The 13,554-nt window shown below is 47.7% G+C and overlaps 1 long non-coding RNA gene across 1 annotated transcript in view; it reads left to right on the forward strand.

The window, feature by feature from the left end:
- The first annotated feature begins 2,298 nt into the window (after nt 1-2,298).
- SOX1-OT (SOX1 overlapping transcript) overlaps nt 2,299-13,554 on the forward strand; it is a 135,706-nt gene continuing 124,450 nt past the window's right edge. The window contains exon 1 of the long non-coding RNA NR_120392.1: nt 2,299-2,382. This is a non-coding gene — a long non-coding RNA (SOX1 overlapping transcript). The remainder of the gene's footprint in view (nt 2,383-13,554) is intronic.

Consider the following 13,554-nt stretch of genomic DNA (forward strand, 5'->3'; position numbering starts at 1 on the left):
GTATCACTTGTTCATTTTTTCCTGAGTAGATGTTTAGAGTATTTCACTGCAATGTCAGTCTTGTAAACTTTACACTCACAGAACTCTCCAGAAGGTGTCAAAATGTTGCCTTTAGAGCTGTTTGAAGAATCCCAACTTTAAAATCTATACACTGGTATTGATTTCTCTTTCCGTCATGGGAAATAAATAATTTTAAAAGGGATTTTTACAAATGTCCCGTGACAAAATCTAAGTCACAAAAATTCAGCAGCAAGGTGACTGTGTCCGTATTTTATGGAATTGGTGTGGTTTCCTGGAGCTGCACAGGAAGGTCCTGTGAGACGTGCACGTGATGGAAGGTGCGTCCCGAGCTGCAGAAACTCCGGTGGCCTCATTCTCCACTCAGTCGCACCGAGACTCACTGGCAGCAGGCGGGGAGCACACTAGTGGGCGAAGGGTACACAGACCCCTAAAACATTAGAGCCCCGTGTGCTGCCATGGCAGAAACACCGCAAGAGGTATGGGCTGTTGGGTTTTTCAGCTTAAGGTAAGAAATATTAATTTGCTAAGTTGGAATGGAAAATGAAAACGTGGTGCCAGGTGTCTAGATAAAGTAAACACAGGCTGTTACAGTGCTGGGGCCAGGTGCTCCACAATCCCTGCTAAGCTGGGCCATGTGGCCTCGGGAAGCCTCTGCTCATCGGTCAAACGTGGGCTACTGTGGGACCTTCTGCACCACGGGGCCTGGGCGAGCCTCCACTTGGGACACAGCGAGGCCTTGGTGCATCCTTGCAAGCCACCAGGAGCACTGGAGTCATATCCTGCGCCACAGACACAGCCCCATGCTGGCCGCTTCCCTCCCGTAACCAAAACGCTCCGTGCAGTCAAACAGCAACTTGCATTGCAAAAAACCCCACACCCTTCTTCGGTATATTTCCTGACTAAGCAGGCAAACAGTTCCATTTTAGGTGTGGTCCATCCCCACCGTGGGAGTGCTGTTACGGGGGTGGGGATGGTTTGAGGTCTCCCCCCAGGAATGTGAGCAGACACGTGGGTGAGAGACAGCAGTCTCTGTGTGTACCCACAACAGGACAAGAATCAGAGTTGCAGAACTAAACTGTTTCTGCCCGTTGGCAAGAGTGTCTAAAAATGTTTTACCAGAAGAAAACCAATATTCAAAATGTGCTTTTACATCAAATGGACAAGGGAAGTTGAAGTTTACAGTTTATAAACAGCAGGGCCCTTTTTTGACAAATGCAGTGAAGTTGTTTCACTAAAGAAATACTTAGCCAGGCGTGGTGGTATGCACCTGTAATCCCAGCTACTCGGGAGATTGAGGCAGGAGAATGGCTTGAACCCAGGAGGCAGAGGTTGTGGTAAGCCGAGATTGCGCCATCGTACCCCAGCCTAGGCAACAAGAGCGAAACTGTCTAAAAAAAAAAAAAAAAAAAAAAAAAACTTAGGCTCTGAGCTGAAAGATTAAACCAGAAAGCATTGCCCACCTGCAGGGGAATGCAGAATCCAGCTGCCCCAGGTGGATCCACTGCAGGACCTTCAGAATGAGAGATTCTAGGGCCAGAGAGAAAGCCTCATGCCTGCCTCGGTAACAACAGAACTTCCTCCAGCTGTCAGGGGCTGGCCTGGGAGGCTGCAGGAACCCACCCCCAGCTCCTGCGCACAGTGCACAGAGGCCGTCATGAAGTTTGCTGAAACTCGTGGAAGCTGCTGTTATCGGGGGAGACTAGTGTCCTCTCACTGAAAGATTCTGGAAATCGTCAGGTTCAGGACGCACCGTCCACCTGGAGCGTGAGTGGCAGGGATGTTCCAGGCAGTGCTTCCCAGGAGAACCTTCTAGAAGCCTTTCCAGCCCCTGACTAGGGTTGATGGACAAAGAGGAGAAAGTGGGGGATGAGCCTTCAACAAACTGACTCTGCTGGGGCTTCCGCTGACTTCAGTTTTCCCTCTCCAGAACCGGGGATGGCTGGCTGCAGCGTGGCCTCACTGCCTACACACCATTCAGCCCCTGTCTGCCTTTTTGTTTACACTGAGAACACAATAGGAGCTATGGTCCTTCCAATACATCATTTATAAGTGTGTCCTACCTCTGAATGCGCAGGCAGAACTGGCTGTGGGTGAATAAGCTCTGTGAATCTTGCCAAGACACTGCTTTGTTCAGCATTATTCTTCACAATAGATACCACACTTTGGAAGTAATTTTAAAAAGGGAATCAAAATAGTGGTACTTTTAGCCTTTGTTTCTTTTATACCACACTGCATTCTCTGTCTCTCATTCAGCCGCTCCCATTATTCTGACAAATTAAATAAACCACTCCATTGCAGAAAAGCGTGGGCAGGCAGGACTTCACTCCACTGCAGCCCCGGGAAGTCGAAATAAACATTGAGGTGGGTTCTGCTATAGCCATTTCGTCTAACTTAAGGAGGGGAAAAAATGGAGGGGGGAGACTTCGGAACTTGAGTGGGTCAGTAGCCCCCGAGAGCCGGCCTCTGCAGCAGGTCGCGACCACGGCGTGGAGGGCAGCGGTTTCCAGGAGCGCTAGGAAGTCCTTCCTGCGGTGTGGCCCTGGGAGCCCGGACGGTAAGTCACAGGAGGTTGGGGCACCGCAGAGGTGGGCAGCAGACTGCGCTGACGCCTGGGGCTCTGTTCCTGCAAGCAGCTTGGCTCTTCTCTCCTTTTTAAAAAGGCCTTCTTACAGGTGTTGAACCGCTGCCTAAAGAGGGAGTGACTCCAGGAGGAGGAGGACTTCTCTCTCCCTCTCTCTCTCTGTCTCTGACTCTCTGTCTCTTTTAAGCTCGACTTTGAGAAGTTTTTGACTTGTGCAATCACAATCTATTTATGAAATTCAGGCAAGGAGAGGACTGAAGAGGAGGAAGAAGAGACGGACAGGATTTTAGAGTGGGGTATTGCCTTCGGTTTTCTTAAGGTCCAGGATGTGTTACAAAACTGATGGGTGACACCCTTCTAACTTTTGGCCTTAAAGCATTTTTCTTTGTACAGGAGAAAAAACAAAAAGTGTGTGTTTGCAAAGGAATCTCTGTTAGATTAATGACTGATTTGAACTAGAATATACATGGAAGTCATTTTAGTTACAACTGCCTCTGTCCTCGTTTGTCGGGTGTGAAACGTGGGGTAGCCGTTTCTCTGAGAGTAGCTCCGTCTGGATTTGGAGAAATCCTCCTGACTGTTGTGAAAATCGTCTCCCATCGGCTGTGCCGGGACCCTCCCCTCCTTCCGTTCCTTTTCCCGCACCCTCTCTTAGCAGAACAGGTGGAGCGGGTGGAAAGGACAGCGGCGAGAGCGCGTGTGGTCAGGGGTCTCGGAGGCAGCCTGATTTCCTTATGAAAACAGAGCTCTGGTAAATGCCAGTTATGGGGAGGGCTTTGAAGGCTGCAGCCACCAGCTAAGATGGCCTCATCTAAAATGCAGGCGTCTGCGGCATGGAGGGGGCTCTGTGTTCCAACAGAGGCGTCCCCTGGCTTCGGAGTCAGAGGGCACTACAGGCACAGGGAAATATTGAGCCACAGTAGTTTGAACAGAACCATCAGGGTTCATCTTTTATTACCAAAGAAAGACTTGAAAAAGCCCAGGTGAAATTTTCTTCCATTGTCTAGGAAAATTCTCTGTAATTTGCCCCCTGGGAAATCCAAGTGCCTTGTGGCCGGGGCCCCCGCCCCACTCCCCTCTGTCCATCTCTCTCCTCCTCTCTCTGCGTAAATGTCTCCGGGGTCCCTGGAGAACCCAGGGGGCTGAGCAGGGGACGCTGAAGGTCAGGGTTGCCCACTGTGGCCTGACTTTTAAGCTAAAGAGGTTTTTCTTTCTCTTGTTGCCCTGTCAGGTCTAATTTGGCGGCATTATGCTGAGAGGGCGGGCCTGCTCCTGACAGGAGGGGGTTAAATGAGATTGCAAGCTTTGGAGGCTGTCAGCAGCCACTGCTGCCCGGGGATGTTAAATTGCGATTTAATGGTCAGCTTTATCTGGATGGTATCAGTGCAAATCTGCTGTTTTCAGCAACTTAATTGGCACAGTGTTTGCAGGAGTTTTTCGGGGAGGTAGGAGAGCTGACCAGATTTTAATGCTGAATTATTTAGAGATCAAACTGGCAGAATGTCAGTGGGAATCTGTCGCGTGTTTGGTTTTCTGAAGCACAGAAAGCTTATGAATGGGCAAGATGCTGAATTCCGCTGTGATGCCCGAAACTTTCTAAAAATATTCACAGGGTCTGATGCAGCTCCGAGTTTATTTATAGAGGGAATAAACAAAGAGTAACAGTTGCTATCACAACATATGTGCAGTGTCTGATTTGTGAGGGGGCAGCAAGAACGTAGAGGCAGCCGCTCTCAACAGAGCCAGTGTGGGCTGTCTTTTCAAAATTTTAACAGATGGGCGCCGCCTGTGGAGCTGCGTGTTCCCGGGGTGACTCACAGGTGACCCCACACTACACAGGACTGACGGTGCCTGCTTGTGTGTGCGTAAGGCATACACGGGTGCACGCCTGTTTGTGCGCTAGGTGTGTGCACAAGTGTTCATGGATGTGTGCATATGTGTACACGTGCGTGGGTATCCATGTGAGTGTGTGTACACAGATGTGGGTGTCGTGTACACATGTGCAGAGTATAAGTGTGTGTGCACATGCGTATACGTGTGTGGGTATGCATGTGTGTGTACACAGATGTGTCGTGTACATGTGTGGGAGTATGTATGAAAGTGTGTGTACACAGATGCGGGTGTCGTGTACACATGTGTAAAGTATGAGTGTATATGCACATGTGTACACGTGTGTGGTATGCGTGTGTGTACACAGATGTGGGTGTCATGTACATGTGTGTATGTAAGTGTGCATACACAGATGTGGGTGTCAGGTACATGTGTGCAGGTATGTATGTGTAGACAGATGTGGGTGTTGTGTACACATGTGTAAAGTATGACTGTGTGCACATATGTACATGTGTGTGGGCATGTATGTACACAGATATGGGTGTCTTGTACATGTGTGCAGGTATGCATGCAAGAGTATGTACACAGATGTGGATGTCATGTACACACGTGTAGTGTGTGCACATGTGTACATATGTGCAGATATGTGTGCGTACATAGATGTGGGTGTTGTGTACATGTGTGCAGTTATATGTGAGTGTGTACACAGATGTGTACATGTGTGCAGGCGTGTGTACATGTGTGTAGAGTATGACTGCACATGTGTATGTGTGTGGGTATGTGTGCCTATGTGTACACAGATGTGGGTGTCATGTACATGTGTGTGGGTGTGTGTACACAGATGTGTGTAGAGTATGAGTGTGTGTGCACATGTGTACATGTGTGGGTATGCCTGTGTATGCAGATGTGGGTGTTGTGTACACGTGTGTAGTGTGTGCGCATGTATACATGTGTGCGAGTATGCAAGTGTGTGTACACAGATGTGGGTGTCGTGTACATGTGTGCTGGTATGTGTGTGAATGTACATAGATGTGGGTGTCATGTACATGTGTGTGGGTATGCATGTGAGTGTACACAGATGTTGGTGTCGTGTACGTGTGTGGGTATGTGTGCCAGTGTGTACGCAACATGTGGGTGTCATGTACATGTGTGTAGAGTATGGGTGTGTGTGCACATGTGTACTGTGTGGGTATGCATGCACGTGTATGTACACAGATGTGGGTGTCCTGTACATGTATGTGGGTATGCATGTGTGTGTACACAGATGTGGTTGTTGTGTACACGTGTGGAGAGTGTGTGCACCACACGTGTGGAGGGAGTGTGCCTGTGTGAGGTGCATGTGGGCATGCATGTGTGCAGGATGGGGTGTGATCTTTGACAAGTGTGCTGGCGTCTCTCCGTGACAGCCTGTGTGCATGGAGGTAGGCCCCCTGGAACTGCCGCATTTCAGCCCGTTTGCCCCCCAAGCCCATCAGTGACCGCAGCTCCTCTGGGCCGTGCCTGGCCGGATCTCTGGGTCCTTGGAGTGGGTATGTGGCCGCCCTTCCGTGGGCGCCTGCCGGGAGGAGGGGTCTGGGCAGCGCCTGTGCTCCAGGGAGACTGGAGGCCTGGGCCGGGGAGGCTTGTTCCCATGAGGGACACCGGGCAGGAGGGAACCGGGTGAGGTCGTTGAAGGAAGAAAGGAAACGGAGAAAGTGCTTCCCCAGCAGACAGCAGCATTGTCTGTTCCCCGTGAGGGTCAGTCCGGAAAGTTCAGGATTAGTAAATTTAATATCCTGTCAAAATTCCCGTGATAATGAGCCCTGGCTGGCCGGGCCGGCCCCGCGGCTTCAGCTCTGCAGCCGGCGAGATAGCGCGGCTGATTGATGAGCAGGGATCGCGCTGCGCTGGCACCAAAGCGGGTGGGTGGGTGGGCGGGCGGGGGGGCGGCGGCGGCCCGCGGTGCCAGGGAGCTCGCTGGGGGCTCGCTGGGGTCTTACAGCCACCTCCGGAGCGGCCTGGCCGCAGCCCAGAGGACCACTGCGTGGCTGGATCCCGCGGGCCCTGGGTTTTGCTTTTTTAAGGAAAATCAGGAAAAGGCCTTGTAGAAAATAATCCTACAGGGATCTTTTCCTGGCCTGTTGGGGTGCCTCAATACCCATCTTTTCAGAATGGACAGGAGCGTTTCGGAGCCGGCGAGGCGGAGGTGGGGGAAGGATGGAGCTCGCTGGGGAGGAGCTCACCTCGGAGGGGACAGTGGCCAACCAGGGCGCGGCCTGGGTGGGTGGGTTTTAGGCTGTAAGGGCGATGCAAAATATGATGTTCCTCACCGAGGAGCACAGAAACCAGAAAGTTCCTGGGCAATTTGTCCGAGGCTCTGCACCTCTCTAAGCAGCTGTCAGATCTGTACATTATGGTACATTGAATCTGAATGAGGCTCTCAACATCAAAACCCTGCATCCATTATGATATCATCTCCCGCTCTAGGCTGTAATGCTTATTAATTCTGCACCCATACTCTCCCGGCTTCAGCAAATGTATTCCATCAGCCTAGCATTTAATTTAATTAGTACAGCTGGGCTCTCATTCTCCTTTCTGTGTCAGAGGTATTGTCAGCACGTTCTGCTGTAACACAATTACTGATTGCTTTTAGATAGGCAGAAATATGATTAGGGTATTGGGTGACTGTATCATAAGCCTTATTAGATTCATTTGAAATCTGGAGATAAATAGGAAACTTTTATTTGCAGTGTAATGAGATTATGCTTATTAGGCCAAGGCCTCGCAACCTTTTGCAAAGAACACAGTGTATCCGCCGGATTATGCTCTGGAAACACACTTTCTGCTCCCAGCCTCCGAGCCATTGCTCCGCGCCTCGAGACTGAACTGTTGTTGCCCTGCGTGCGTTTAGGATTATGGCCGCCGTGGTGTCTTCCGCATGATAAGGACCTGGGAATCCCTTTCCTTCTCCAAGTCTGCTGGAATACATACGTCTTGAAATGAGATTTCTTTTTTTTTTTTTAAGAAATGTTTTTGTAAAATCAGTGTGCAGGCTGAAAGAAATTATTCTTTTAAAAGTATTTATTTGCTTTTAAAGATGTTTGCATTTCTTAGACGTCGCTTACTGAGACTGGCATATAATGAAGGTCTTAAAAGTTCCTAGTGCTCAATCTCTAAAACGTTTATCACTGCTGTTACTGTTTTGATAACTGCTAGCACAAATCCAGAAACATGTATTTTTTTATTGGCATTTATTTGATATGCTCAAATTTCTAATATTTGTCGAGGACAAGATCTTTCTCCAACCCAAAATACGTCAGTTCTGAACAGTGTGGGGCCAGCACAAAGGGCAGGTATGATCTGAGGAAGCCTCTTGACATAGAATTTAGGGTGACAGTATATTTCACTGAGCTAAAATTGGCCAAATGTATTTATTGGTTATAAAACATAGTATTTTTATACATAAGGAAAATGATCATGATTTTTCCTGGATACAAAGGTTTTGGAATGATACATAAATCTCGCTTTAGGAAAAATCCAAGGTGTAAAATATAAATTTGCAGAACACATGCAATTTCTCAAACTATGAATTATTTTTTATGTCACCCTCACTCCATTTTTACCAGATCATTTATAACCTTATTGGATTTCAAAGAATCTAAGTAGATTACTTTCATGAACTCATCTATTGCATAATGCAAGTCCCACATGTAAAGTGATTGTGTTTTGGTGTTCACTTACCCAAAACCAGGAGTATGTATTTCTTAGTTAAATATGTGATCAGATCGAGATATGTAAAAAGGCATACCTATGCTGGCTCACCAAAACCCAAAGCTAAGAAGGAGCTGGCAGGGTCTGGAGGCTACTTGTTTAATGGCCACAGAGTTTTCCTTTGGGGTAATGGAAAAGTCTTGGCAACAGATAATGGTGATGTTTGTACCACATTGTGAGTGTGATGAATGCTGCTGAACTGTACACTGAAAATGGCTAAAACGGAAAATTTTGTGCTCTACATATTTTATCCCAGTAAAATAGAAAGGAAAAAGGGAGTCTGCGCCTGTGTGAGAGCCGTCAGCATGAGCTCCAGATTACGGGATGCATGGCAGTCAGTGGCTGCCACCTGTGGGTTTATGGACCATGGGGAGAGCTTCTTAGACTTCATTTCAGTCTTGATTTGGGGACCTGTTCACTCATTCCTGCCAGCTCCATTATAGCAATTCCCACCTATTCAAATATATGGAACTCTGGTGAAGACATGGGTTCTTTCCCCAAAATGGTACATAGCAAAGAACTTGCTTGGCCTTGGAGGGAATTCTTGGCAGCATAATTTGCAGCCGGAATTAAAATCAGCTGACTCTGGCCAAGCATTAATATTCAGCGAGCGACTGGATGAATAAGAGATGAATGAAGCCAAGAAACACCCAAACTGTTCCAGTGACGTTTTACTTTTTCAATGGCCCTGAGGAGAAGGTAGCCAGCAGTCCTGCCAGCTGCCACCTTAGAATGGGAGGCATGGCAGGGGATTCCAGGCCCCAAGGCACAGTGTAGACACCAAGGAAAGGAGAGACGCGGTGGCCGAGGACGGCAGCAGCCAGGGCAGGCCTTCCACAGCCACCCCATCTCCACCCACCCTCCATAAATGGCCTCTGAACCCCAACAGCAAGGCTCACAAACACACTTCTCTCCTACCAGGTGGATTGCTATTTGCCCCAATGCTTTTTTTTAAATACCCTTTGCAATCACTGTTGTAATTTGTAATTTAAATGTTACATAAGCCACTGAAATATGAATGCAACAACAACAAAAAAAAAGAATGAATTGTTTTTTTCTGTGAAAATTAAATTGGGTATTTTGGAATGACCAGACAAAATCAAATTGCTTTTAAAAATACACGAGCGTAAATTATTGAGGAAAATCATTGAAGCCTAAGACGACATTCAGATTGTTTGACACATGGTTTTAGTTCATTGTTTCACTTTGAGGAACCTTAAAAGACGCATCTTAGATAGGTGGTGTTTATACAAGAAAGAAGACCCCATAAGCCAGTCAGCAGCCCGAAACTCAAAGAAAAGACTTTGGCATTGAGAGGCTGAGGCAAGAGGATCATTTCAGGCCAGGAGTTCAATTCCAGCCTGGTCAACATAATGAGGCCTCATCTCTACAAATCATTTTTTTAATTAGCCAGACATGGTAGTGTGCTTGTAGTCCCAGCTACTAGGGAGGCTGACGTGGGAAAATCACTTGAGTCCAGGAGTTCGAAGCTGCAGTGAGCTATGATCACACTACTGTACTCCAACATGGGAGATAGAGAAAGAACCCATCAAAAGACATTGGACTTACAGCAAAATATGTATGTGTTTTACGTTAAAATGTTTCTGGTGTAGATGTGTATTTTTTTGATACTCTAACACACGGACCAGGATCCCAATCCCAGGATCACAAACCAGAGGCCATCTGTGACAGCAGGGGGACATGAGGGGAGGGGAGGGAAGGGGAGGGGAGGGGAGAGGAAGGGAGGAGAGTGGAGCCGTCCAGGGCCCTCCTGACCCTCGGTTTTGACTATAAATAACTTGCTGACTCCAAGGTGTTCCATGGAGGTTAATGGAGGTTGCTATCAAGGTAGAATAGTCAGGGGCACGTGGACAAATGCCCCATAGAAGCATTAGAGGACAAGGGGCCAGATCCAGCTGCTGTGATGCTGAGAACAGGGACAGAGAAGGGACTGGGATGGACAGGAGTGTAACGGGAGAGAAGCATGAACGGGCAGCTTTCTGAGCAATGCCTAGCCACTCATCTACAGAATCCTCACTTAGCTATCTCCTGGATGGGTGTGTGTTCTCTGTTTTTCCATCCAGCCTCAAAAATGAGGCTTCTCCAGGTGCACAGAGGCACCCAGAGCAGCAGAGATGTCCCCAATCACTCCACAAGAGCCTAGGGAAGAGGGTGGCCTGAGTCTGGCCCGGAGCCAGCTGTTAGGTCAGGTCCCTGAGCTCTGGGCAGTAATGCCCAGGGGATGGAGCTTATGTCGAGCCCCAGAGCCCTCCCTGCCTCCCCAAGCTCATGACAAGAGAAGAAATGACTGAGCCTCTTCCTTACTCAGATTTCTTCTACCACAGAATACTGCTTGTGGTACCTGGGCTAAGGCACTCAGTGTCTCTGCTGTGTTTTGCTCACTGGTAAAATGAGGTCGCAGTAACACCTTGTTCCTGGGCATGGCTAGGGTTTCATGGTGGTGCTGGGGGACAGACTTGCACATGCCAAGTTGCACAGTCACAGATATAGAGCACGTGAGGCACATGCGTGCACACGTGGACACAGGTCCCCAGCATGTCTGTGTCGCACCCCTGCACGCCGTCCCACCCTGCTGGGCTTTCTTCCGCTGGCTCTGCTGTGGTCCTCTCGCTACTCCTGCACGGACTCAGAATCAACAACTCCATCTTCAGACTCATTTTTTCTCTTCATATTTATACCAAAAAAAAAATCTCATAGGCCACGTTACTTTTAACCTAATCCAGTCAAGCTCATCCGTGTGTGGATCTACGGCATCCATCTCTCTACTCTTTTGTTTTGGCCAAAGAGGAAAGATTTGGACAAAAAAAAGAGAGAAGGACAGGCCATCGGTAGGAGCCAGTATTTGTGTCCTGGGGCTGCCGTAACAAAGTGCCACAGCCCAGGAGGCTTGAACAGCAGAAATGTGTCCCCTCTCAGCTCTGGAGGCCGCAGACTGAGGTCCAGGTGTGGGCAGAGCCAGCTCCTCCTGAGGCTGTGGGGGACTCGGTTCCAACCTCTCTCCTGCTTCTGTGGTTCGCTGCAACCGGAGATGTTCTCCTTGCCTGGCCCATGCATGATCGCAGCTTCAGCCTTGGTCTTCTCCTGGCGTTCTCCCTGCGTGGTGCGTGGGTCCCGATTTTTACCCTCCATAAGGACATGGTTTTATGGGATTGGGCCACCTACTCCACTGTGACCTCATCTTAACGAATTACATCTGTGAAGACTGATTCGCACTAAGGAATGTGGTTACATTCACTAATTTTGGGGGGACACACAATTCAGCCTGTAAAAACGCAGAAAACACTTTGTACATAAATGATGAATTTCACAAACAAAGGTACCGGAAAGAATCGCCACATCCTAGGCTCTCCAGCACCTTTGAGCAGCGCTGAGCAAAGTGGGTGGAGCCCAGGACTTGTCCCTGACGCTTGCTGGCAGCGAGTAGGGCTCCGACTTTCTGCTTTATCATGAAATATCTGGTGGTTTGTCACCACGTTTCCTCTGAAATGAACTGGTACACTTGCTCTATTTCTGACTAAGGGAATCAGCTTTGTGTGTGGTCTCAGTAGAAAAGGACAATTGGACAAAAGTAGGAATGAGGCAGCAGTAGCCACACAGACCCCAGGTCACCCAGAGAACAGGGCAGAGCTTGAAAACTTGGTCAGTGACTTCGAAGTCTGCATCTAGTGTAGATGCTCGAGCTGGGATCCCCCACCCCAGGGAATCCTCAAGGCAGCTTTCCCGCAGTCTCAGATGCAGGGCTGGCCTCACCCAGGAAGCCAGAGCCCTTCCCAAGGGCTTCTAACCCACATCCAAGGTGAGAATCACCGCTGTGGGGGTAGAGGGCAGGTGCCCATACATGCCTGGCTCCAAATGACAAAATTCAGGAGGTGAGTGAGGCTTCTCAGGGAAGAGTCTGCCTGCCCTCTGGCAGCAACTAAAGATCAGGACCCACCTGACACTTCAGGGCTTCCACATCCCCATCTTGTTTTACCTTCCTTCCTTCACTGGCAGCCCCATTATCTGAAATTTCCTAGCACTTTTCCTTCTTCAAAACTTCACCTAGCCACAACATCACAAACTCATGGGATGCAGCAAAAGCATTTCTAAGAGGGCAGTTTATAGCAATAAAAGTTCACAGAAAAAAGGAAGACCCCAAATAAACAACCTAACATTACATCCCAAGGAACCAGAAAAAGAAGAATAAACAAAGCCCAAAGTCAGAAGGAAGAAAATAATAAAGATTAGAGCAGAAATAAATGACATAGAGATAGAAAACCAATAGAAAAATCAACTAAGAATTTCAATTTTACAATGTATATGTATATCAAAACCTCACCTTGTACATTTTAAATATATACAATTTTTATTTCTTAAAAATGCAATGAGATATCATGTCACACCTGTTAGAACAGCTAATATCAAAAAGTCAAAAGGTGGCCAGGCACAGTGGCTCACACCTGTAATCCCAGCACTTTGGAAGGCCAAGATGGGTGGATCACCTGAGGTCAGGAGTTCAAGACCAGCCTGGCCACTATGGTGAAACCCTATCTCTACAAAAATACAAAAATTAGCCAGACAGGATGGTGGATGCCTATAATCCCAGTTACTCAGGAGGCTGAGGCAGGATAATTGCTTGAACCCAGGAGGAGGAGGTTGCAGTGAGCCGAGATCGCACCACTACACTCCAGCCTGGGCAACACAGCAAGACTCCATCTCAAAAAAAGAAAAAAAAGTCAAAAGGTAGCAAGTGTTGGTGAGGATGTGGGGGAAAGGGAGCCTTGTACACTGCTAGTGGGATGTAAATTAGTACAGCCCTTATAGAAAACAGTATGGAGGCTCTTCAAAAATTTAAAAATAGAAATACCATATGATCCAGCAATCACACTTCTGGGTATAAATTCAAAGGAATTGAAATAAGCATCTCAAAGAGATATCTGCACCCCCATCCTCACAGCAGCTTTATTCACAATGGCAAAGCCATGGAAACACCTAAATGCCCATCAATGGATAAATTAATGAGAAAGATGTAGTATACACAAGGGACTACCAGTTAGCCTTACAAAGAAGGAAATCCTGTCATTTGCAACATGATACCACTTTATGATAAATCTGAAATAGTCAAATTCATCAAAGCAGAGAGTGGCATGGTGGTGGCCAGGGGCTTGGTGTGAGAGAAGTGGGGAAGAATTCGCTAAAGGGTACAAAATTTTAGTTATACCAGTAATACAAATTCTAAAGACCTACTGTACAGTATAGTTCCTATAATTAACAATACTGTATTGTATACTTAAACATTTGCTAAGAGAATAGATCTTATGTTAAGTGTTTTTATCAAAATAATAATAATGATGATAAAAATAAAAGATCAG

This window comes from Homo sapiens, chromosome 13 (genome assembly GCF_000001405.40).
Source record: "Homo sapiens chromosome 13, GRCh38.p14 Primary Assembly".
NCBI lineage: Eukaryota > Metazoa > Chordata > Mammalia > Primates > Hominidae > Homo > Homo sapiens.